The sequence below is a fragment of the Homo sapiens genome, chromosome 15 (genome assembly GCF_000001405.40).
Source record: "Homo sapiens chromosome 15, GRCh38.p14 Primary Assembly".
NCBI classification, from domain to species: Eukaryota; Metazoa; Chordata; class Mammalia; order Primates; family Hominidae; genus Homo; species Homo sapiens.
The window spans coordinates 21842183-21869564 of record NC_000015.10 but is presented as its reverse complement, the minus strand read 5'-3'; the positions used below and the strand labels follow the sequence as shown (position 1 = coordinate 21869564).

The 27382-nt window shown below is 37.6% G+C and overlaps 1 protein-coding gene, 1 non-coding gene and 1 pseudogene across 6 annotated transcripts in view; 2 read left to right on the top strand and 1 right to left on the bottom strand.

Annotated features, from left to right (window-relative positions):
- The window catches only part of POTEB (POTE ankyrin domain family member B), a 31407-nt gene extending 8171 nt beyond the window's left edge, over window positions 1-23236 (top strand). Inside the window, exons 4-11 of one of the 5 annotated variants that reach the window (NM_001277304.2) lie at window positions 387-493; window positions 1831-1968; window positions 4479-4549; window positions 10043-10113; window positions 11517-11561; window positions 12607-12773; window positions 21243-21366; window positions 23005-23236. In NM_001277304.2, the coding sequence (NP_001264233.1) occupies window positions 387-493; window positions 1831-1968; window positions 4479-4549; window positions 10043-10113; window positions 11517-11561; window positions 12607-12773; window positions 21243-21366; window positions 23005-23217 (936 nt within the window). In that variant the 3' untranslated portion in view covers window positions 23218-23236. Of the gene's footprint in view, window positions 1-386; window positions 494-1830; window positions 1969-4478; window positions 4550-6944; window positions 6965-10042; window positions 10114-11516; window positions 11562-12606; window positions 12774-21242; window positions 21367-23004 lie in introns of those variants that run through there. The other 4 variants (NR_102391.1, XM_017021858.2, XM_047432072.1 and 1 more) reach the window with 4 other exon arrangements.
- Window positions 3249-3355, top strand: RNU6-631P (RNA, U6 small nuclear 631, pseudogene; annotated as a pseudogene).
- A 2504-nt stretch (window positions 23237-25740) lies between the features above and the next one.
- MIR3118-4 (microRNA 3118-4) lies at window positions 25741-25815 on the bottom strand. The gene has a single exon (NR_036134.1). It is a non-coding gene; the product is annotated as a microRNA 3118-4 (primary transcript).
- Window positions 25816-27382: the final 1567 nt, after the last annotated feature.

Here is a 27382-nt window from a genome sequence, read left to right as displayed (position 1 = left end):
TCTTGCTTTATACACAACAATTTTGTCTTAGGATTGGATAATAATAGAGATAAAAGATACAGCCCCTGCCCTCAAGAAGCTTTTTGTTTAAATGAAAAAAAAAATCATCCAAAAGTGCCATGCCAAATGCTCATTTAGAAACAAAGAGTCTTGGAAACAGTAAATGTTTAAAGTGAGTTTTTGAGATGATCAGATTTAATGTGGTGAGGCAGAGAAGGGATGTTTCCAAGGGAAGGAGTGGCATGTGGGAAAGTACAGAAGAGTGAGAAGGAAGCGACCAAATTTTATTTACTTTCTGTGAGTGTAAGTCCATAAGCTTCCAGTTCAGTTGAGAGATACATAATTTTTTGAATTACATATTGTTTTTGTTTTATATTGTTTTACAGTGTGGCCTCACACCACTTTTGCTTGGCGTACATGAACAAAAACAGGAAGTGGTGAAATTTTTAATCAAGAAAAAAGCTAATTTAAATGCACTTGATAGATATGGAAGGTATGGTTATTTCTTTTAATCTGTGTGTTGTTCTAGATTGATAGCAGTCACTCAAGTCATAAATAATAAATTAATAAGATCAAATTATACTTATTGGGACATAGTGATCAGTATCAACACAAATCAGTTAAGTAGAAAAGCAATTATTTGGACTGAGCAACATAAAGAACTGTTTTAGTAGGATTCATCTTCTCTTATTATATTGACTGATGTTATTTGTTGTATGATGTTTTTGGTTACATGATCTTATGTTAGCTAAAGGGATTTCATATTAATTTTATGAAGTTTGAACTTTAACTTTCAGTTTACTTTATGACTCAGTATTGAACTTTTTAACCCTTTCTAGTAGGTTTTAACCTCTGTATCTTATATGCTTTTCCACTAAATATGCTGTATTAAACATAAATAGGAGTCGAAAATCCTTTTGTCTTTTCAATGACTCTGCTTTAAGTTGCTTTCTTTGAAGAATATTAATGTTAGCTTATCCCTACATGACAATTAATTGCTATTCCCACATACTGTGGGTTCAACAGCTTTTTTCCTTTTTTATTTCCAGTGTATTTTGATGTTTTTATTTTTAGTTGGTATGGAGAGAGGGAGTGAAGATAGTTTTAAGTGGATACACTTTTCCTTTAATGAAGGCAAGCTGTAGGTGGGTGATAAAGAGAAAAGAGCTACGCTTTGGATTCACACAAGACTGGGTTTAATTCCTAACTTTCTTACTTGCTACGTGTGTGACATTGGGAACGTGATTTACCACCCAATATGTTGTCATATGTGAAAAGTAGGAGAATATATCCTTCAAAGTTGGCTGTGCATAAGCAAGAAAGGTACATGTGGCATTTAATTCAGTGCGTAGCACATGCTTATTGGCATCATTAACTGAAACTCCTGTGACTACTATTCTTACCATTATTATTAATATTACTGCTTTCAGCATGCAGAGAGCTCTTATTTATCTTAGCCCCTAGCTAATTTTCTATTACAGCATATCAGTCTAGGGAAGCTGTGACAAAATCTTCACTTAAATCTTTGTCCACTTCAGATAAGTGGCCCTAGCATTGTTTCTTGCCCATCAAAGGACTTTAAATTAGTAGCTTCTGCTATGCAATACCCCACTGAGATAAGAGGTTTCCTTTTTGTCCCTTCCTTTTAACCTTGGTGGTATTTTACAAAGATGAACTCTTGAGCACCCAAGATGCTTATGTCTTTTAGCGCATGTAAATGTTTGATTCTGCATGGACAGGCAAGATGTCAAATTGGTAAAGTATATCAAATTAGCTTTTAAAATAACTTTATTACAGTTCCTAAAGGAGAAATTATCTCTGTAATTTTAGAACTGCCCTCATACTTGCTGTATGTTGTGGATCAGCAAGTATAGTCAATCTTCTACTTGAGCAAAATGTTGATGTATCTTCTCAAGATCTATCTGGACAGACAGCCAGAGAGTATGCTGTTTCTAGTCATCATCATGTGTAAGTGTTTACATGAAAAGGCTAGTTAATGCTAAATTGAGGTTTAAAATAATTATAACAATTGCATCTTACATATCAGGTGAGATGTCATAGTTTGGTTCAGGTAGTTTTAGAGTGGCAGTGAGTTAGTCCCCTGCATCAGCCAGAAATCAGACAAAAAGCAAGACAAGTTAGAAGTACCAATGGGTGCAGGATTCTTTACCTCAGGACTTTTAAGACCTTTATCCTTAGAGATCCCAATATTGTTCATTTCATCCAAGTATAACACCTATGCATGGCATAAAAAAGAGTATCACATCTTTGATTTTTCTGATTAGTTATTTGGGTCTTGAAATGTCCAGTTTAGCAGAAAGCCTTGTACTGTCTTCTGGGGACTGTCTCCTACATACTCCTTGAATTTTTCAAGAACCAAAGGGGTTCACTAAATCCAAGGAAGACAGTCCCTTTTATCAAGTCAGAAGGAGGAGAGAAAAAAGGACATTCCAATCATTCTGTTGTTTCCATTGTTTCTGTTGCTGCATTGTTGCCACTCAAACTGCTTCTGCTGCCTGGTAATTGTTGACCTTTGACACCAAGGTGCCCTTACTGATTCAGATCCCTCAAGTCTTCATGGGGATTCACACAGTGACTTTGAAGTTACAACATTTTTTAGTTCCCTTACCTATGCTTATATATGCTCAGCCATTGTTCCCAAAGCACCAGCACCCTGCTCTGGCCGCTGGGCATCCTGACTTTATCCGCACACAAAGTGAGCAAATTGACCCTTCCTCCTGTATTCAGAACCTAATGTGGAACCCACATCTTAGCTAAGAATTAGCTGAGACCTTCATGGTAAGAGATCCTTTCAGGCCGTTGTTGGTCTTTTCTCTAGCAGATATGAGGTGGGCTTGTTATAAAGGGTCAGAGGGGTTCAAATAATGTGGCAGAAAGAGATCAGTGTTTGTTTCTTCTTCTTTGCTACCAGATCTACACTGTGAGGCACCTTTATATCCTGTGTAGAACCTTAGGCAGTAGAAAGTCCCATATGAGCCTTCCCCAAGCAGTGGCTCCCAGCTGTGGTTGGCCCCTTGAGTGATCTGATTTACATGATAATGAAAATCGTCCAAGCTACTTCCATCTCTAGCTCAAGATTTTAAAATATTTTCAAATTGTACCTCACAGGAAGCCATTGAAGAGAATTCTCAGAATCTCAAGTGGGTTAAGTAAGTAGTGATGAGTCATGGACAAGAGCCAAGCCTTGCCCATGACTCATCACAAATCATGTGTAAAAGTAGGGCTTTGTGCCTGCTTTGGCGGCACATATCCTAAAATTGGAACAATACAGAGAAAGTTAGCACGGCTTCTGCATAAGGAGGCAGCACAACTCTTTGAAGCATTCCATATTTTGTGCAGTCACTGGAAGATCATTTCACTATTTGCTGACTAGCTCTAAGGAAACAGTGTGAATCAAAGCAAAATGGGTGCCACCAAAATATCGAAATGTGATTTGTGCTGCAAAAATAGTCATGGAAGATGGTCTGTGAGATGATTTAGAGCTGAATAATGTGTTCAGTGCAAAATATATTATAAGTATGTACGTCAAAAATTAGAGAATGTCAATTTGCAGCTTCTTCATGAAAACTGAAAAAAAATAAAAGTAGAGTTTTGGTCTCCCATGTCAGCTGGAATTGAACATCAACATAAAGCATTATCCTAACAAACATCTGCTGGCTCAGAGTTTGAGTCTGTAGAGAAGGATCATTGCTCCAAGCCAGGTCTTAACATCCATTGGTTTTTCTGCCCTTAGCACAACAAATTGGTCAACTCCGTAATAGTGGACAATCACATTATCTACTTTAATGAGAGATTTATGAAAAAATTTAGTTACAAACTATGACACAGTTGAGATGCCCTGAATGATAAGCCATAAGGAGTAGGACAACTAAGAAGCAAAATTAGGACTTAATAACATTTTCTGAAAACTACAGCATTTGCATATTAGAACCTATGAACAAAATACACATGGGGTTTTATTTGGGATTCCAAGATAATTTTAGTCATAAAGTTTAGGAACAGATTATTCCATTGCTTTACTATTTCTCTGAGCATTTAAAAAATGTTACCTTGTTAAATCTTTATAACAACCTAGTGAAATAAGGCAGCAAAGTCCTCACTTTGTAGAAGAAGACATTGAGCCTAAGAGAAGAAAGTTGTCCAAGAACAAATAGCTGTTCATTATGGAGCTAGGACTTATGCAGAGTTGGGACACTTTCTATTATGTCATGCTAATGCCTGCTGATTTACTGGGTCACAGTGCCCTTGATTTATGAGCATTTCACCTAATTTTTTTTCTTCTTTAATTAGAAGCTTAAAGAAAAGTTTGTAGAATGTACTCATAAGTGTATGGGATAATACTGTTAAATTCTGATATTATGATATTGTTTGAAATACTCTAAGAATTTTACATTTGGTAAGTATTTTTTATATCAGTATTAAAATAGTAATTTGGTTTATTACATTTTTATACATAGAATTTGTGAATTACTTTCTGACTATAAAGAAAAACAGATGCTAAAAATCTCTTCTGAAAACAGCAATCCAGGTAAGACTTGTGATAATGAATTACTTTAGGTCAGTTGTCCACAATGTTTTTGGCATCAGGGACCGGTTTTGTGGAAGACAGTCTTTCCATGGGCTGGGGGAAGGTGGGGATGGTTTCAGGATTATTCAGCCATGTTTCATTTATTGTGCTACTTTATATTATTATTACATTGTAATATATAATGAAATAATTATACAACTTACCATAATGTAGAATCCGTGGAAACTCTGAGCTTATTTTTCTGCAACTAGATGGTCTCATCTGGGGGCAAAGTGAGACAGTGACAGATCATCAGGCATTAGTTTCTCATATGAAGCACACAACCTAGATCCCTCAGATGAGCAGTTCACAATAGGGTTCATGCTCCAATGAGTATCTAGTGCTATCACTGATCTGACTGGAGGCAGAGTTCAGGCGGTAATATGAGCCATGGGGTGTGGCTGTAAGTACAGGTGAAGCTTCCCTGGTTTGCCTGCTGCTCACCTCCTCCTGTGTGGTGTGGTTCATAATAGTCCATGGACTGGTACCAGTCTGTGACCTGGGAGTTGTGGACCCCTGCTCTGGGTGGTCCTACCATAGATAAAAAAATAAAAGTAAGGAATTTTTGATCACAAAAGAACGCCAAAGCACAAGTCATGTTACATATCCTTGTCCCAACAAGGTCTCACTCTTACTGACTTCATTCCTCCTCATTTGAAGTTGGAAAGAGATACATTTACTTTGTTGGAACAAGATGTGTTCTCTACCTGCTGGTCAATTGTCTTGATAACAGTAATTTTGTTAGAACAAGATGCTCTGCTACCATTTACCAAAAGATTGTCATAATAAATATACAAATTGCCCAACTCTAGGCTCAGCAGATTATAATAAAAGTAGAAAAATGCTTCACATTAACAAAAATACTAGTATGCCACCTGGTTGTGGACACCTAATACATTGTATAATCCAAACTGGATGAGGACACCTTTAATTTAGCCATCTATTTATCAAAAAGCTTCTGTAAGTTAGGTTTTATAAGTTGCAGAAGACAAAGATGGAATAGATGTAGTTTTGATCTTTAAGGTGCTCATAATAGAGGTGTCTCTATTTCATTTCTGTGCTTTTTCAACAGAATTTACAAAGAAAACATTTCTATGTTTTCACTTGTCCACTTAACAAATAACTATCAAATGTCTTTTAGATACTAATCATTTTTCTAATGCTACAGAACACACACAATTAAAAATACAGACAGGAGCTTGTTATTATCATTGTCATTTTTATTATTTTACTACTTTATTCAGTGCCTACTGTGTGCTAGATGCCAACTGGAAGCTTATAATTATGATTTATTATGTATTAATTATGTGCCAGACATACGTGATGAGGAATGAAAGTTTTGAAAAAAAGTAGGTATGATTCAAAGTAAGCATGCAGAGTGAGAAGAATTTTTCTAGGTAAAGAAGCAGAAGAATAATTTTTGGCAGGAGGAAATTGCAACAAGTTTGTGTGTTTGCCAGAAGAACATCTGATGAGATTGCCTGTTTGGCAGGAAGAGCAACAACTGCAAAAGACAAGATGCCGAGTGAACTTTGCAGGGTTTCTGAGCAGTTCACTTTTGCTAGTACCAAAAGTGTGAGACACCAGAGTTTGGGAATGAGGTGAATACTTAGCTAAGGCAAGTTTATGATAGACTTTTTTAATACTATAGAAATGAGTAGGTCTTACCCTGTGGGCCATGGGAAATTTACCAGGTAGAATGCTTTGGACTGTAAATACTAGATGAGCAGTGGCTAAAACAGTAGGAACCAGAGTTGTTTTGGTTGTTCAGTGATATCCTAGGATCCCATTTGTCCCTCTTTCAGCTGTGCTGTTGGCAGTGTTTTCTTCATGTTTCCTTTCGTGGTTGGCTAATCCGCAGCAGCTCCAAACATCTTGTTCTCACAACACAACATTTCAAGGGCTGCTTTTCTTCACATGTGTCTTTTAAACAGGGAGAAAACTTAGAAGCATGCAAGGGGCTTCCTGTAACATTTCATTGGCTGGGTCACACCACATGCTCATTCCCAAACCAGGCAATGGGATGGCAAATACATGATTAGCTTAGAATAAACATTTCTCTTTCTGAGGCTGAGGAGGGGGATTGGGATAATAAATATCCCAATAGACTTGTGTTTCTTCTGCAAGAAAGAATAAGGAATGGCTATTGATAGGAGCCAACAATGTGTGCTGCAGGGGCTCATTGGAGAAATTTGAGCAGGGGAGTTACAAGATTAAATTTGAATATTAAGGCATATTCTGCTTATGGTGTAAAATGGGTTAGCAAGCTTTTTCTGTAAAGGACCAGGTGGGAAATATTTTAGACTATGTGGTCTCTGTCATATCTACTTAACCAGGCTGTTGTCTGTTGTTGTAGTGTGAAAGCCACCATGATTATATGTAAGCAAACAGGCATGACTGAGCTCCTATAAAACTTTATTTACAAAGCCAAAAGGCAGATTGGATTTGTCCTGTGGCCTATAGTTTGCTGGGATTGATGGAAGATAACCATGTAAAGAAACCAGGAGACAAAGGAAGCTTTTGCAGTAGTCAGCTATAGTTTCCATGTCACACATCCTTGGACTAGTATCAATGTATTCTAAGGTTTTCACCTGCCCATGGTGAAATAAAGTTTGGAATCCCCGTTACTCATTTTAATGTGTTGGCCTTTTTTTGGTGTTATGCTTTTTTCATTTGTTTTGCTTAATTTTTTTCATGTAAGAAATAACATTAATAGTTGGAAGGCTTTTTTGTAATAAAAGCCATTTTGTAAATGTTTATGTTCTCAGTGGAAGTGGTAATATAAAGCAGAGGCAGAAGAGAGGTATAGTCAATATGATTTAGTGATAATTGAATGAGAAAGGTTTGGAGGACAGAGAGAAATGTCAGATAATTTACAGGTTTCCACGTTGTACACTAGTATTTAAGCTGGGAATGAGGAAGGAGTACGAAATTTTCTCCATGACCTGTGTGAGTCACAGCTTCCAGAAAAGAAAGAGAGCAAGGAGCATATTAAGGAAGCACAGCAAAGTCAGTCCTAGAGTGCCCTGCTTGACTTCATGTCATAGTTCTGACTTCTAAAAAATCATTTTCTGCAAAATGTGCTTTGTGTTTTTCCCCTCTTGCAGCCTGCAGCCAAACAGAATCCCTTTAGCAGGGCATTTTTGTGTTCTTCCTTTAAACAAAGCAACATATAAATAACAAAAAAGAAGTAAGAGAAAGAGTATTTTTTGTATAGGCTAGCATTTAACTTAAACTTGAGAGCGAGTACTAGGATTATACTTAGAATTTATGGACTGGGTAGGAAGACTAGATAGAAATCTAAAGATTGCTGACTCAAACACAGTGTGATTTTTTTGCTTTATTCTCACAGCTCTGAATTCACAACTATTAGTTATATTCATATACACTATAACTTTATAAAGCACCTTCCCAAACAAATATTAAGTGATTTATTATAATTTCTATGACTTATTATAGAATTGACTTTCCAAGTGTTCATGAGAATTATTGAGAATTTGCTACATAGTATCATCTCAGCTGTGTCCACATGAGCTAGCTGTCACCTTGTCTTAATGAATAATGGCTCACTAGGAATATTGGTTTTGGCATTAAAATGATCTACATCTTAATACAGATAGGACCAGGGACCACTCTTGAACGTTAATGTCTAAGCATCTTAAAGGTACACATAAGGCTTTCATAATCTGACTTCTGCCCTATTCTACATCTTTAGCCCTTTTCCCTGTGTGCCCTTTCTCTGGCATTACTGAGTGGCTCTTAATGCCCTACTCACTCCTCCTTCTATTGCAGGCAAATACTTTCACTCTTTCAGGCCTCGCTCCTGCTCTTGCTGCTGTGTGGCATGCTGTCACCCTTTCTTGCCCTCTACCACTTTTAATCTAGCTAGCCTCAATATTTAAGTCTCTGCTTGGGCAGGTGTTCTAGAAAAGCCATCCCTGACAGGCTTTATTTTCATTCTTTTTAAACCCTAACACCTAGCATGTATGTAGCAGGACTCAATAAGAAATTTCTGAGTAAAATAAAGACTGTTTTTACAAAGATGATGTGCAAGACTGTCCTCTGCAGTCTTGGAGCAGAGGGGACAGACATGTGGAGGAATAGTGTACAGTTCAGGTGGTAAAGGTGCAGTAGAAAAATCAGTGAGGTCCTAAGGCAACCTCAAGGAAGGAGTTACCTGTTTATCTGGGGAAAGATCTGCAGAATCAAGGAAGACTTCCCATAGCATTGTTTTAAAAGATGAAAACAAGGCTGGGTGTGGTGGCTCACACCTGTAATTGCAGCATTTTGGGAGGCTGGAGCAGGTGGATCACAAGGTCAAAAGATCAAGACCATCCTGGCCAATGGTGAAACCCCATCTCTACTAAAAATACAAAAATTAGCTGGGCATGATGGTGTGTGCCTGTAATCACAGCTTCTCAGGAGACTGAGACAGGAGAATCATTTGAACCAGGGAGTCAGAGGTTGCAGTGAGCTGAGATTGTGCCACTGCACTCCAGCCTGGTGACAGAGCAAGACCCCAGCTAAAACAAAAAAAAAGAAAAATGAAAATAAATTTGTCATAATAGTGGATGGAAACATTTTAGATGTTAAGAAGACATTGTACACTAATAAAGGTGTCAGTAGTAATTTTGGAAATCGTTTGTAAGGTACTATTTTTGCAGAAAACAGGAGGCAGGAGAGACCCAGTGGGTCAAACAAGAGGATTTTGTTTAGGTGCACACCAGCTCAGCGGATTTGCATCAAAAAGCTGAGCCCTGAACAAAGACAGGGCTTGGCTTATATAGGCAAACTTATAGAAGCAGAACAAAGGCAGTTAATCATATAGTGACAGTTTTGCAACCACTGCATAGCTTGTGACCTTGCAGCTGCATTGAAGGAAAACAAGAATTTGCAAAATATATGCATTTGTAAAAATAGCTATGAATAAATGCTGAGGGGGAGGGGAGATGGTAAAGGAATTTGTTTTCTTAACCTTGCTCTGGGATGTCTGGAGCCCATACCTGTGGGCTCTGGCTTCTCAGACAGGGTCACCATGACCTTTCCTGGGCCTGCTTGTTACTATCCTTAGAGTCAGACTAGCTAAGTGCAGGAAAACTTGTTTCTCTTTAAAACTAAATTTCCTTTTCTTTACATTTACTGCTTCACTATTAGGAAGTGAACAACATACTGAGTTACCTTATATGTTTCTACTGTATTTTGAAGTTGTGTTTCTGGTGGTTTTGTTCATTTATGTTGGGTGGATGAATTTGTGAGTGAATCACATCAGGTGTCTCCCCAAGTGGTTTGTTGAAGTTTTGGAGAATTATTTCCTAAGTAACTATTTCATGAAAGACTAAACACTCAGTTTATGAAATAAAATAAAATGTTGTCTTCAATCTATTTTTATAAAGGCAATAGTTTTTAACTGTTCTAAGTGGTTCATTTTAACTGAATATATGGATTTCTCAACAGAACAAGACTTAAAGCTGACATCAGAGGAAGAGTCACAAAGGCTTAAAGTCAGTGAAAATAGCCAGCCAGAGGCATGGAAAATTTTAAGTTTAAATTTTTGATTTAACGTTGTTTTCTTTGCTTGAATAATATTAGATAGTCCAAATGAAATTACCTTTCAGACTAGGTTTTAAGAATCAATAGATTCTTTTTTTAAGAATTTTTTAATAGATTCTTAAAATTTATTTTAATAAATTCAGCAATCTCATTAACAGAAGAATTAATAAATTCTAACTTAACATTTGATATTTAGCTTAAAAACGTAACCACTATAAAATTTAAAATACTCTTATTTTATGGTATTCTTATTTAAAATATTCTTATCTGCCTTTTTGATTAGCTTATAGCTAATCTTTCCTTTTGGAATAGAGGCAAAAACATATTCCAGACCTTTGTTTGTTCTTTTATTTTTACAACACCCTAACATGATAAAGTACCATCAATTATTGGATTATATTATTAAGCAATAGAACTGTGAACAATGTAACACTGAAGGTCCCTGAGCTGGATTCATGGTTAAAGAATAATCACGGCCAGTGATTGAAAATCTGCAGTTTTATATTGTCAGTCACTGATACCAAGGTTAAAGACATATTCTGCCTTGTGGTCTCTCACTGACCTCAGCATTTCTGTTCAGGGAGGGAACCAGGTCATAAAAGCAACCCAACTGCCTATTACAAGAATCATATCTTGCAGAATGGGACATTTGGTGTTAGTGCACAAACACAATAACCTTCTACCTTATTTTAGTTGCAGAAAATCAGTACAGATTATTAAAAAATTTTTATCCACTGTAATTAGTACACCTTAGAATATATTAGAACTGGACTTAAGCAGATCATCTAGATACATAACACTATCATATTACAGCATATAATTTCAATTAAAATTTAAGAATTTGCATTTCTTCCTGTTTGGTGTTGATTTCAGCTCCTAATAATTTAAAGCGTGCCTACAATCCAATTAGGAATCTTTTTAAAAAGCACTTCAGTGCACTATAGGGGCTCACTAGTTAGGGTTTCATGAGATATACTCTTTTCAAGTGAGGAAGCCCTTGGAACACTACAAATCATCTGCTAATTCATTTTTGGTAGATTTAACACATAACAAATTAAGTTTAGTCCAAACAAATGGTGACAAAGTTAAGTTTGCTGGTTCATGTTTTTATTCTCCCTTTGTCTAAGGTGAATTATTTTCCCATGTTAGTCAGAAGCCAATGATGTGGCAGTAGCTAAACATAGATTAAAAAGTTAATTCTTAATTTTAATTATTTATTTATTTAATTATTTTAACAGTTAAATTTTATTTTATTTTCTAATTTTTCATGTCCATACTTGATTACTTAAGAATAAAATTATTTTAACATGCATTCCAAAAGAGGAGACATACACGGAAATACAACAAGCAAATTAACCTTCTATTTTTGCATCTGCAGAAAATGTCTCAAGAACCAGAAATAAATAAGGACTGTGATAGAGAGGTATACCTTTATGTTCAAATGTTTCTGTGGAATTAGATTTTTATGTTATGCTGTTTAACAAAGTGTAGTAAGTGTACGCATACATGATCCTATCATGTAAGTAGCATAAATCACCAGTGAAAAATTTAATATTTAACTCAGAAAGAATTCTGTACATTGAGTTTTCAAGAGATACAAACCCTAGAGAGATTCTTTCATTATTATGGAACAATCCTGAATGGTGCCATAAAATGCTAGGTAATGCCACTTTAGGAGATTTGGACCAATCCTTTTATCTTTCTTGGTTTTAGTCTGATTATCACTAGATAATGTGGCTAAAGAAGATAATTACTTATTCTTTGTAATTTCCAGCTGGAAAATTGTATAGCTATTGAATGTGAAATTTGGGGAGCATCTAATTTTCTGGAATTCCATGCTTGCACCTCAGCAGTTTCACTCTGCTCCTTGTGTTGTGGCAAACTTTGGTTTTCATGTTTCAGTGAGCACCATCATGTTTTTGATATCCAGGAACCAAATGAAAAAAGAACGATCAAAGGCAGTGGGGGAGGAGAATATCTTAGTGCAGAAAAGGGCCATCTTCCTTTCTATTCCTGAAGCCCCCCAGTGTCTCATCCTCTACATCTGAGTGTTTAATGTAAAATCTAGGTGGTAAAGACAGAAGACACATTTTGTGTCTATGTCGTTTTATTTTTGTGTTCCCACGAGTCAAATGGGGTAAATTCATATATAAGATTCTGAAGAGTTTTTGGGAATAAAAGCACAAAATGAAGGAGGGCCCTTTTTGAATTTTGGAAAATTCTGTTTTATTCAGTCAAACAGCTGGAATCAAGCAAACTTTACAAAAATTTCAGTGATATACTAATGACATGATAATTACATCTTAAAATTATACAGTTATAGTTCTGTATATATGATCAAATTTAAGTGTGAAATATTTTTAATGACTAAAATAATGGCAAACTGAGTCAATTGATAAAATCAATTAAAAAGGTTATTTTTATTCAATAAAGTGATAACCATCCTTAATATCAAACTTCCACTCAAGGTTGAAGAAGAAATAAAGAAGCATGGAAGTAATCCTGTGGGATTACCAGAAAACCTGACTAATGGTGCCAGTGCTGGCAATGGTGATGATGGATTAATTCCACAAAGGAAGAGCAGAAAACCTGAAAATCAGCAATTTCCTGACACTGAGAATGAAGAGTATCACAGGTGAGCCTATGGCAACATTTAATAGGAGATAACTATATGCTGTCAAACTAATCCTAATTTGGGCTTTCATGATGAACAAATTTTATACTTTTACTAGAATATTCAGCCTTGCCTGTTAATCAGAAAAATGAAAATCAGTAAACAATGAGTTACCGTTTTTTCCAGTCATTAATTTATTTGAAAAATAACCGGCATTGGCAAATGTGAGGGAAAAGGCATTTCCTTTTCTTTTTAATGAACTTTTATTTTAGCTTCAGAAGTTCATGTGTAGGTTTATTATATAGGTAAACTGTGTCATGGAGGTTTGGACTACAGATTACTTCATCAGCCACATAATAAGCAAAATACTCGAGAGGTAGTTTTTTGGTCATCTCCCTCCTGCCACACTCCACCCTCAAGTAGACCCTGGTGTCTGTTATTCTCCTCTTTGTGTCCATGAGTTTTCATTGTTTAGTTCCCACAAATGAGTAAGAATATGTGGCATTTGATTTTCTGTTCCTGCATTAGTTTGCTTAGGATAATGGCCTCCAGCTCCATGTGTGTTGCTGCAAAGGAAACGGTCTCATTGAAAAAGACAATTCATACACTGTTGGTAAATATATTTTGAACATTAATTTATTAGCATATTTGCACACACACATATATAACATAGTAAGTATATATATGTATGTTAAGGATATTTGTATAGATTTGTCACATATATACTTATGTATAAGGACATTTCTTACAGCGTTATTATATCAAAAAGATGGATCCTTATCAATAGGAATTTATCATTATCAAAAGTAAATCCTTACCAATAGGAAATGGCTCAATTTTCATACCCAGAAAATAATACGGTATGCAAACATTTTTTACAAATGAGGTTAGATCTAGAGTATACTGATTATTTCACAATTAAAATGTATTTAAAGCATTTAGTTTGGTAACACATCTTAAGATAATTTTGTTAGAATTCTTGTAATATCTGCTGTGTTGCAAATGGAAGCTACACGCTACATTGACACTGTACCTTGTTAGCAACGAGATTGGTAGTTATTAAATTTTTGTTGTCAGTGCCTGAGTGCCAAAATATTGGACCTTCAATCTGAATATTGCCAAGGGATTGTACATGGGGACCTATATTTAATATAAACATTTGAGTATATTGGGTAAAACTTTTATTAAAATATATCAAAGTATCTTTCATCTGCTAAACCAGGAGCTGGCCAGCTTTTTCTGCAAAGAGCCATTTAGTAAATATTTTAGGCTTTGTGGACTATATATATTTATTTTTTTTGAGACAGGGTCTCTGTTGCCCAGGCTGGAGTGCAATTGTGTGATCACAGCTCACTGCAGCCTTGACTTTCTGGGCTCTAGTGATCCTCCTCCCACCTCAGCCTCTCTATTAGCTGGGACCCCAAGTGTGCAACATCACACCCAGCTAATTGACTCTATGGACTGTAAAGTGAATAAGCATGGCTGTGTTCCAAGATTCTTTACTTACAAAAACAGTCAGTGGCCTGGATTTGGCCCACAGGTGCTAATTTGCTGACCCTTGTGCTAAAAGGAAGGTGCTGCTAATGCAGTAACACTTATTTATAAAAGTGCCCAGCATGTGTGACAGTATCTTTCCTTTGAGAAAAAGATATATTTTGGTATTCACCTCACCATATTTTTCCACAGTGACTTCATATATTTTTAAAAATTTCATTTGTAAAATAAGATTATTTTCTGCATTTCTGCCACTTTATTCCTGTTAATAGAATTCAGTATTTTATGGTGATCAATTACTTTGTATATTCGATGAGCATCAACTGTCCTAGAATTGGCTGATTTTTATCAAGCAAGAAATACTCTCCTTGAAACTTTTAGTTTTTCTTGGTCTTTATGTATAAGCATGAACAAAATGATAATTAGCTTATGTAATCTAGAAATGGTCAAGGCAACTTTTAGTTCTATAGTTTTAAGATTTAACACCTTGGTCTGGCATTTTTAATGCCACATGTGTATAATTTTTATAAGCTTTAAAATATATAATTGTTATATAAAATTTGAAAACTACACCTTTTATGTAAAATTTGAAACTATTTGTCTATTACTTTTCCATGACTGTGGAAGAAAATTACAACATTCTCAGCCATGACTCCTAAGTATGATGTCCTTAAAAGAACTGTCTACACTCACGAACTCAAATTTTCTTTTCATTCACTCTTGATCTCATGCCAGTAAGTCTTCAATTTCAGCAGTCCTCCAGCATTGTTTTTCCTCAAGATTATCACTAATTTTTTTCTGTAATAAATCTAGGCACTTTTCTTCCACCTCATTTTATTTAATCTGTCAGCAATATTTGAGCCAATGGAGGGCATCTCCTCCCTAACGGCATCTTCACTTGGCTTTCAGGACCTCACTCCCTCAGGCTTTTCCTCCTGCCTTTCTAGTCCATTCATCATGGTCTGTTTTGCTTGCTCCTCCTCATCTTTCTCCTTTTGGACATTGTTGTTTCCCAGGGCTCACTCCTCAGTCTTCTTTCTTGTGACTTTTTCTTTTTCTTTTTTGGAGACAGAGTTTCACTCTGTCTCCCAGGCTGGAGTTCAGTGGTGTGATCTCGGCTCACTACAACCTCTGCCTCCTGGGTTCAAGCAATTCTCCTGCTTCGGCCTCCTGAGTAGCTGGCATTACAGGTGCATGCCACCGTGCCCAGCTGATTTTTGTATTTTTAGTAGACACAGCATTTCCCCATGTTGGCCACCCTGGTCTCAAACTCCTGACCTCAGGGGATCTGTCTGCCTTGGTCTCACAAACTGTTGGGATTACAGGTGTAAGCCACTGCACCTGGCCCCTCGTGACTTTTTCTACTGTGTATATGCTAGTGATTTCTGAATGTATGTCTCCAGCTCAGATCTTTCTCCTTAATTCCAGATTTCTATATCAGCCTGCCTACTTGACGTCTCTATTTGGTTAGTTATTGGGTATCACACACTTGTCAGATCCAAAATTGGGCTACTGATGTCCTTCCTGAAATCTGCACCTCATGTAGTCTTTCCTATTTTTGGTTAAGGGCAACTCTTCCAGTTGCTCTGCCAAATATCTCGGTGTCATTCTTGACTCATCTCTCTCTCTCTCTGACACCTCACATCTAATCTCTCAGTAAATCTTGTCAGGTCTACCTGAAGAATATGTCCAGAAGTCAGTCATATCTTGTACATCTGAGCCACCCTCATCTGCAGTCTAGATGAGTGTCATAGACTGGGAATTGATAGTCCTGGTTTTTAAAAACTTCCCTTTTCATCAATTCTTAACTCAGTGGATGTATTTAAAACATAAGTCAAATTGTGTCATTCCTCTGCCCCAGCCCTTCTGATTATCTCCCATTTCACTCGGAGTATGTGTCAAAGTTCCTCCTAATTATCTCCCTTGCTCTGCTTCAGCCAAACTGAATTCTTGCCGTCCCTTATCTACCCCTAGTGCTTAAAGATGCCAGGCACACCTCTGTGATTCGCAGTTCCCTGTGTCGGGAATGATTTTTCCCCAGTTATCCTCCTAGCTTTCTCTTTCCATTCCTTCACTTCTTTATTTAAAACCCCCTTTCTAAGAAGAAGAGGAAAAAGGGTAAAAAGAAAGACATTAAGGAACAACCACTTTCTGAGGAAGAACAGCGTGCTACCTAGACGCGTCATGCTTGAGGTTCAATTGGGTGCCTACCAGGGATGCTCTCTAACGTAATGAAGGGAAGGTTCAGTGAAACAAAGTGATTTAACATCTCTAACTTCAAACCCATTTGTATCTTGACATCAATGCCGTTAACCTTATGTCGTCATTTCTTAGAGTCTTTGATATACAAATAAAAGGTTTTTTGTATTAGAAAAAAAAATCCCCTTTCTCAGCAGGGACTTTTCTGACCACCCCAACTTTCCCACCACCCTCCCCATGAAACACATAAACATTTCATTTTCCTGCTTTAGTTTTTCTCCTCTAACATACTGTATATTTTGCCTTATCTGTCTGTTGTTATTGTGTGTTTTTCTCACTCTCATGAATGGGGTTTTTATTTTTCACTACCATATCCTCACTGCCTAGAAAAAGGCCTAGCATATTGGATGAAGCTACCTAATAAATACTTATTAAATGAGTGAATGGAGTTTATCCTGGATATATTGTTTGATTAATTCTCACTTTAAAAATGTTTGACATGGTTCATTCTAACAGTTTTGCCCGGTAATTACATGCATTTTAAAAATTGTTTTGGCTCTTTATAATAAGCTACATTCTTTATATTATTTTTTTATTTAGAGAGAAAAGCCCAATATTGTGGTTATTCACTATTTATTCTTTTACTAGTAAACATAATTGTAATTATGGTAAACTGAGTCAGAGGAATTGTAAACTTTACTGGTATTTTATTTTATTTTGAGATGGAGTCTTGCTGTATCCCCCAGGCTGGAGTTCAGTGGTATGATCTCAGTTCACTGCAACCTCCGCCTTCTGGTTCATGCATTTCTCCTCCCTCAGCCGCCCAAGGAGCTGGGATTACGGGGGCATGCCACCACGCCTGGCTAATATTTGTATTTTTAATAGAGATGGGGTTTCACCCTGTTGGTCAGGCTGGTCTCAAACTCTGTACCTCAGGTGATCCACCCACTTCGGCCTTTCAAAGTGCTGGGATTACAGGCATGAGCCACTGTGCCTGGCCACTAGTATTTTATTTAAAAAAAAATTAGGGTGGCACATTTAATGGACTTACAAATTCTTTTCAAGGGATTATGAACCTTTGGTATTTGAAATAAAGATACAGAGTTGGAATTTTTTGCTTCCTATAGTAAGAGGAATACTGGTCAGGCACTGTCTATTCTGGTGGAGCAGGTGCTGCTGCGTGGCTGTATTTCAGAAGCAAGCTGCTCACATTGATATTGGTTGGTGAGCAAGAGCAGTGGTCATTGATTGATTGACTAGATTTCAAACTGGCTTTTGGGTGGCTTGTTGTTACCATTGGTACAAGTCATTTCTTTCCTAAGTTAGAGTCAACTTTAACCAAAAATTTTCTGTATAAAAGTTGCCTTCAATTAACTATGTTCAAAATGAAAGTACTTTATATTCCAGAATTGTAGACTTCATTTTAAAATTTTGGTCAGGATGAATTGGTTAATAATAGCTCTCAGGAAGATCTGTTTTCCTTTTTTAAAATACATATTTCTCTGTATAATTTATTCCTTAAAATTAATTATTTTCTTTCTGTTTTTGGTATTTTTAGAAGCTTTTGCTCAAGTCCTAACATAATCTCCAGTAGGAGATTTTAGTCTCTTTGTCAGTTCATGTATGTATATGGTAGTGATACTCTCTTTTTAAATTCCTTTTCTCATTCACTTTCTTCTCAGTACAATAACAGTGATATTCTTATACATCTTTACCTCATTTAAAAGTAATTACAGTTTTCTGCTGGCAAATTCAGCTTTTTATATTTTGACTAAATACTAGGCTAAAATTGAAGAAAATTTACCAGGTCATTTTATTTTCAAACAAAATCATTACTAATAAAAATTGCTATTTTTGAAATATAAATAATGACATTTTGATATTTTAAAAGTAAGGATACACCCCCCCCAATAGTTTCGCTTTGTGTTTCCACCCAAATCTCATGTCAAATTGTAATTCCCAGGTGTTGAGAGAAAGACCAGCTGGGAGGTATTGGATCATGGGGTCGGTTTCCTCCATGCTGTTCTCTTGATAGTGAGTTCTCACAAGAGCAGATAATTCTATAATGGGCTCTTTCCCTTTCACTTCTCTCTCTCCTGCCACCTTTTGAAGAAGTTGCCTGCTTCCCCTTTACCTTCTGCCATGATTGTAAGTTTCCTGAGGCCTTCCCAGCCATGTGTAACTGTGAATCAATTAAGCCTCTTTCCTTTATGAATTACCCAGTCTCAGGTATACATACATATATATATATATATATATATATATATATATATATATATATATATATATATAATTTTCTTTATTCCACTCATCAGTTGATGGACACTGGCTGATAACATATCTTTGCATATGTGAATTGTGCTGCAGTAAACATATGTATATAGGTGTCTTTTTGAGAGTATGATTTCTTTTATTTTGGGTAGGTATCCAGAAATGAGAATGCTGGATAGAATGGTAAGATCTACTTTAACAGAACTCTCCATAATGTTTTCCATAGATTTGTACTAATTTGTATCCCCACCAGCAGTGTATAAATCTTCTTTTTTCACCACATCCACACCAACATCTGCTGTTTTTTTTATTTTAGTAGTGACCATTCTGGCTGAAGTGAGGTGATATCTCACTGTTGTTTTATTGTACATTTCCCTGATGATTAGTAATATTTAGCATGTTTTTATATTCTTGTTCACCATTTGTACATCTTCTTTTGAAAAATGTCTATTCATGTCATGTGCCCACTTTTTAATGGAATTGTTTGTATTTTTCCTGCTGATTTGTTTGAGCTTCTGGTAGGTTATGGACATTAATCCTTTGTTAGATTCATAATTTGCCCATATTTTCCCCATTGTATAAGTGGTTGGCTCACTTTGATGATTATTTCTTTTGCTGTGCTGAAGCTTTTTAGTTTAATTAGGTCTTTATTTATTTATTTATTTATTTATTTATTTATTTTTATTTTTGTTGCTTTTGCTTTCAGGGTCCTCATCATAAATTATTTGCCTAGGCTAATGTCTTCTGGTCTTAGGTTTAGGCCATTAATCCATCTTGAATTAATTTTTTACATGGTGAGAGATAGAGATCCAATTTTATTCTTCTATATGTGACTATCTTTTTTTCCCAGCACCATTTGTTGAATAACGTGTACTTTCTCCAGTGTATGTTTTTGTATCCTTTCTCAGAGATCATTTGGTTGTAAGTGGCCTTTTTTCTGAGTTGTCTATTCTGTTCCATTGATCTGTGTATCTACTTTTATACCAGTACCATGATGTTTGTTACTGTGGCCTTAGAGTTGAAGTCAGGTAATTTGATGCCAACATGTTTGTTCCTTTTTCTTGGTATGTCTGTTGCTATTCAGGCTCTTTTGTGGTTCTACATGAATGACAGCTTTTTAAAATAACTCTGTGAAGAATGACATTGGTACTTTGGTAGAAACTGTATTGACTCTGTAGACTACTTTGGGCACTATGGCATTTTCACAATATCAATGCTTTCAGTCCAGGAACATAGAATGTATGTTCATTTATTTGTATGATCTATGATTTTCTTCAGTGGCGTTTTCCAGTTATCCTTTGATAGATCACTCACCTCCTTCATTAAGTATATTCCTAGGTATTTTACTATTTTGCAGCCATTGTAAAAAGGATTGGATTCTTGATATGACTCTCAGCTTGGTTGTAGTTGGTGTATAGTGGTACTATTCATTGGTATTTGTATATTTTGTAACCTCTGAGACTTTACTAAATTCATTTATCAAATCTAGGAGTGTTTTGTAGGAGTCTGTAGGGTTTTCTAGGCATAAGATCATATCATTGGTGAAGAGAGAGTTTGACTTTCTCTTTTCCAATTTGGATGCCCTTTATTTCTCTTGCCCAATTGCTCTGCCTAGGGCTTCCCAGTTTTCTTCTTAATATGCATGAAATAAAAGTGAAATTGAAAGCGATTAATGATCAGTTTATTTCACATCTCTCTCTCATACACAGATAAAATTAATTCAAAGTTCTATGTTAAAAACACAATATTAGACCCTGTCTTGTTCCAAAGGGAATTTCTAATTTGTCTATAAATTACAGAGGAATAAAGAATATAAGTGGAAACTGTTTCCAAAAAATAAACGTAAAAAGTTTGAGTTAACACAGGGGTTTCCAATCCCCAGGCCACAGACCAGTACCAGTCCCTGGCCTGTTAGGACCTGGGCCACACAGCAAGAAGTTAGTGGTAGATGAGCAAGTGAAGCTTCATCTGTTTACAGCCACTCTCTGTCACATTACCACCTGAGCTGCTCCTCCTGTCAGATCAGCGGTGACATTAGATTCTCATAAGAGTGTGACTTGAACCCTATTGCAAGCTGCTCATGCATGGGATCTAGGTTGTTCACTCCTGATGAGAATCTAATGCTTTATGATCTGTCACCATCTCCTGTCACCCCTAGATGAGACCATCTAGTTGCAGGAAAATAAGCTGAGGGCTCCCACTGATTCTACATGATGGTGAGTTATATAATTATTTCATTATATATTAGTAATAATAGAAATGAAGTGCACAATGTATGTAATGTGCTTGAATCATCCTGGAACCATCCCCCACCTCAGGTCCATGGAAAAATTATCTTCCACAAAACTAGTCCCTGGTGCCAACATGACTGGGAGAGCAGGGTTAACAGATGTGAGGCCCCTTTGCCTTGTCTTGGATTAATGTGCAGATATACATTGTGTGAATGACATCTGATGGTGCCATCTTGCCCTGTAGATCATTTTAGGGACACCTCCAGTATTTCATGAAAATTAAAATTTCTTCTAGTGACGAACAAAATGATACCCAGAAACAACTTTCTGAAGAACAGAACACTGGAATATCACAAGATGAGATTCTGACTAATAAACAAAAGCAGATAGAAGTGGCTGAAAAGGAAATGAATTCTGAGGTATTTTCTTTAGTCATTATCAAATGTTTTCATATGTGTGTATATTTTTAAAAAGCTTTATTTTGGAAGGTATAAAGGATTTTTAAATCATATATATACACACACCCTGTATATCCTTGGTCATATATCTATATATGTACACATAGGATAAAGCCATGTTCTTAATTCAACTGCATTTGCCTGCAACAGTCGAGTAGTGACCTTCACAATGGCCTCAATCCAAAGGAAAAGCATTTGATATTTTTCATAAGAATTGATTATCTTTCCAATATCAAAAATAAGTTTTGCTACTAACAACAGATTTGCTAGTTTTGGGACATTAGTTCTTTTTAAAATATTAATAGAGAAGTCAGTTTGTTATTTTCACTAATAGGAAAGTAGGAAATGTACAGCTGGGTCAGAGGCCACATTGTGGATGTCATTATCCTTGCTTTTGAGGAGAGGAACAGTTTGCTCCGAGTAGTTTCTCAATTCAATGCAAAGAGCTTTGAAAACAATGACATGCCATGATACACATTTAGTGATAATTTATTGATAAGTATTTTGTTCCCAGATGAATAGTTCAGTACGTTTCCCGTATTTCACACTTACTACTATAATGTTTCAAACATTATGAAGAGGAAAGAAAAGTTATTGCAATGGCAAATAATCTCATGATTTCTAAGAAAAGCCTTGTAAGTTATATCTTATTTACCATTTGTATTTTGAAATAAAAGGCTTCTTTTGTATTTATATATTTACACCACAGAAGCAACTGATTTTGTGGAGGATCACTAACAGTAGCATCAGAAGACCTGGCAAAAATCTTGCACGTTGCATATATATATGTGTGTGTGTGTGTGTGTGTGTGTGTGTGTATTCTAGATGGAGTCTTGCACTGTCACCCACGCTGGAGTGCAATGGCACAAACTCAGTTCACTGCAACCTCTGCCTCCCAGGTTCACACGATTCTCCTGCCTCAGCCTCCTGAAGTGCTGGGATTACAGGTGTGAGCCACTGGTCCTGGCTGCATATATTTTTTGACCTCTCCTTTTAAGAATCGTGATCTTAAATGAGTTGAGTGTTGTATGTAGAAGTGCAATGCTTAGATGCCGGTGTGTACATTGTAGAAGGGTACAATGCTTAGATTTAACAGTTATGAATAAATGTAATTCTTATAACTGACTGTAAAAATATTAGAAAAGCAGTATATTGATAAAACATTCCTCAGAAAAAGGAACTTAAAGAACTTTGAGGAATTGCTTCTGTCCTAATATATGCATAGCTGAGGCTCTTATGATGGTGTGGTTTGTAGGTTAGATATCAGAGTGTAAACCCAATTTAAAAAATGTAGCCAAATGTATTAATCTTCTATTTTATGCCTCTGGGTTTTTTGTAATTCAGAGAAAGGCTTTTCCAATTCTGAAATTCTTAAAAATCCTCTAGTGATTTATTTTTCATGGTCTTTAGATAAATATTTCAACTTTTTGGAATTTACACTCTTCTAGATTTGAAGTTTTGTCCAACTTTTTTCCAGTTAAATATCCACTATGGGAATTATTTCATTATACAAATATAAATGTCATTCTTTGATTTTAGAAGAAATCATGATATGTCATTCTATTGAGTGCTAACTAAAAGTTCCCTTTGTTTACTTAGCTTTCTCTTAGTCATAAGAAAGAAGAAGATCTCTTGCGTGAAAACAGCATGTTGCGGGAAGAAATTGCCAAGCTAAGACTGGAACTAGATGAAACAAAACATCAGAACCAGCTAAGGGAAAATAAAATTTTGGAGGAAATTGAAAGTGTAAAAGAAAAACTTCTAAAGACTATACAACTGAATGAAGAAGCATTAACGAAAACCAGTATTTAAGTACAGTGGACAGCTTAGGATTTTGACAACTGAGAATGCTCAGTTCTGAACTGGAGAATGTAAGACACAACTAGGAAACACTGGAAATGGAAATTCAATCATGTCATTGTAGACTGACTACTGCTCTACATGATTGTGATCAAAGTCAGATAGCTGAAAGGGACTTCTTTCCAGAGAACAAACATCAACAGGTTTATTTACAGGAGAAAATGAATTCTTATATATCTCACCTAAAAGATAACAGTGAGATTCTTTCTGAACAACTCTAACGCTGACAGTAAAATTAACAACCTAAAAATTAAGCTCCATCACACAGGATAAATTCTGAGAGAAAAGATGAGGCAGGCCACCATCTTTCCTGTTTGGGCAACTTAGTCATTCCAGCGTGCGGGCTTTGGAGAGTACAAACTCACCAGGGACAGAAGAGATCCTGTGGCATAGCACAGCTGCTTTACCAAATCATGGCCAGAATGCTTCTGTAAGCAGGCCCCTGATCCTGTTCCTCGTCACTGGACAGGATCTCCCACCTGAGGCCTCCAGCTACACCCACCAGTGTTCCCTGGCCAATGGAGATTTGAAACCTTCCTGGGACAGAGTTCCCAGAGAGAGGGGTGGGCCATGATGGGCAGGTCTTCCTGGCCTGGGTCTCCAGCCAGCCCCCCACTTGAGCCTTCAAGCCAGTAGCAACTCAGCAACTCCCTGGACAGAGCTTCCAGGAGCAACAGAAATCCTCTCTGCCACTGCCTCTGCAGTGGAACTGCCCTTGCTACCCTCAGAATATCAAGGGAGCAAAGACCCTAAGTGCCATATTGACACCTCCAACAAGCTGCAGTTGACACAAGGAACAAGTCAGTCCATCTTCCACGGGTACAACACACCCCTTACTGCTCATCACCAGACAAGGAACCCTGGCTTGGGCCCACAGCACAGACCCTCCATCCTGGGGTGATTACATTAAGTAACTCCTAACTTACACCTCTCTGGGGTGGAGCCCCCAGGAGACAAGGAAAGTGGTGGAGCAGCAAGTCAGCTGATGTGGAGCCCGGAGGGCAGGGACATCTATGACTCTAGGCTCCACTTGCTCTTATGAGACACTTTATCCCAGCACTTAAGGAGTGCTGAGGTCAGACCAGCCCCATCTCACGTGCAAGATTGCCCAGCACAGATCAGGTCTAAGAGTTCTCTTCCTAAAAAGGGGGACTTGCTTAAAAAAGAAGTCTGGCCGCGTTTGTGTAGAGCAGTTGTGCTGTGCTGAGGATTCACTTTTGAGAGAGTTCTCCTCTGAGACCTGATCTCTGCTGGGCAGTCTTGCACATGAGATGGGGCTGGTCTGACCTCAGCACCCCTTAGTCTGCTTGCCTCTCCCAGGACCCCAGCCAGGCCACACCTGCTTAGAGGGCACTTCTGGGTGCCCACACCATAGCTTCTGTACAAGCGGACCGTGGCTGATCAGTGGAGAGCTGCAGCAAGGTGACCTCTACAGCCACGTACCAGCCTGCACATTACCTCTCCATACTGCAGCCCTTTATATGGAAACTTTCTACATCACTTAGCTGTGTGTGTTTACACAGGTGGGTTTTGTTGTACTTGCCCTAACAGCATATGGGAATGCAGCACACACCCCAACCCACACCAACTGCCACTGAAGATGAAGCCATGGTGGGCACAGAACCAAAAACCCCACCCCTGCTAGCATCTCACCCTTGAGGTAATGCTGTGCAGAGGAAAAGGGACCTTCTTATACCCTGAGTGACCACTGTTGCTTGGGGGGGATCAGAGAAGGCACCTTCACTGGCCAGCCACCCACCCCAAACCAGAACTACCTCCAGTGCAACAGCACACACAGTCAGCAGGGGCCCCCTGGCCCACACCCCAGCTGTTTTGCCTCCACCACTAGGTGAATGCCCACAGGGAGGCAGGGACTTTTGCATCTGCTAGCATTCTGCCACAGCTGCCGCACTTTGGTCCCCTCAGTGCGGTGGACTCCAAACCTCGAGGAGCCAGAGAACAAAGTTGTGGCCCAATACAAGTTCCCCAGAGTTAAAGCACACAGTCCAAGAATTGGGAGCTGCATGTTGGCCCCTTAAAATCCTCCAAAGACAAAACCTGTTGGCTGAATCCACCTTACACCACAATCAAATCCTCAAGGTCATCAGATATAATAAAGGAAAAATACCCTGTCCAAAGGTCAGCAGCCTCAAAGATTGAAGGTGGATAAGCCCATAAAGATGAGAAAAAGACTCTGTGCAAGAACACTGAAAACTCAAAAATTCAGCATGCTTTCTTTTCTCCAAATGACTGCATCAACTCTCCAGCAAGTGTTCAGAACTGGGCTGAGGCTGAGATGTCTGAAATGATACAAGCAGAGTTCAGGATATGGGTAGGAACAAAGTTCCCTGAGTGAAAGAGGTATGTTGTAATCCAATACAAGGAAGCTAAAAATCATTGTAAAACATTGCAGGAACTAACAGACAAAATAGCAAGTATAAAGAAGAAAATAACTGACCTGACAGAGCTGTAAATCACACTAGAAGAATTTTCATAATGCAGTCACACGGTGATTGTGTGTGATTGCATTATGAAAATTATTGTAGTATGTGTGGGCACCTGAGAGTGCCCTGTAAGCAGATGTGGCCAGGCTGGGGTCCTGGGAGAGGCAAGCAGACTAGGGAGGGCTGAGGTCAGACCAGCTCCATCTCATGTGCAAGACCATCCAACAGAATAGACCAAGAAGAGGAAAGAATCCCAGAACCTGGAAACTGGCTTTCTGAAATAAAACAGGCAAACAAGAATGGGGGAAAAAAGAATGAAAGGGAATGAACAAAACATCTGAGAAATATGGGATTATATAAACGACTAAATCTATGACTGATTAATGTACCTGAAAGAGATGAGGAGAATGGAACCAACTTGGAAAACACATTTCAGAATATCATTCATGAGAATGTCCCCAACCTAGCCAGACAGGCCAACACTCAACTTCAGGAAATCCAGAGAACCTCAGTAAGATATGCCATGAGAAGATCATCCCCAAGACACATAATCATCAGATTCTCTGCGGTCAAAATGAAAGAAAAAGTGTTAAAGGCAGCTAGGGAGAAAGGCAACATCACCTGCAAAGGAAATTCCATCAGACTTAGCAGACCTCTCAACTGAAACTGTACAAGCCAGAAAAGATATTCAACATCTTAAAGAAAAGAAATTTCAACCCAGAATTTCATGTCCAGCAAAATTAAGCATCATAAGTGAAGGAGAAACAAGATCCTTTTCAGACAAGCAAATGCTGAGGGAATTCATTATCACCAGACCTACCTTACAAGAGCTCCTGAAGGAAGCACTAAATATGGAAAGAAAAGACCACCACCAGCCACTACAAAAACACACTGAAGTACACAGACAAGTGATGCTAAAAACCAACCACATACATAAGTCTGCAAAAAAGCCAGCTGACAGCATGACGAGAGGATCAAATCCACACATACCATTACTAACCTTAAATGGAAATGGGCTAAATGCTCCAATTGAAAGACACAGGGGGCAAGCTGGATAAAGAACCAAGACCCATTGGAGTATGCCATCTTCAAGAAACCCATCTCACATGCAGTGCCCTACATAGGCTCAAAATAAAGGAATGGAGAAAAATATTTCAAGGAAATGGAAAATAGAAAAAAGCAGGTGTTGCACTCCTAGTTTCTGACAAAGCAGACTATACCAATAAAGATTAAAAAGAAAAAAAAAAAGACAGAGGGCTGGGCGCGGTGGTTCATGCCTGTAATCCCAGCACTTTCGGAGGCTGAGACAGATGGATCACAAGGTCAGGAGATCGAGACCATCCTGGCTAACACGGTGAAACCCCGTCTCTACGAAAAATACAAAAAATTAGCTGGGCATGGTGGCGGGTGCCTGTAGTCCCAGCTACTTGGGAGGCTGAGGCAGGAGAATGGTGTGAACCTGGGAAGTGGAGCTTGCAGTGAGCCAAGATCGTGCCACTGCACTGCAGCCCAGGCGAGACAGTGAGACTCCGTCTCAAAAAAAAAAAAAAAAAAAAAAAAAAAAAGAGAGAAGGAGATTACAAAGGTGGTCCTGACCTTTGATAAATCTCATTATTGCTTGATACCAACCTGGGCTATCTTTATTGCCCAAACCAATAGGATAATGTGCTGAG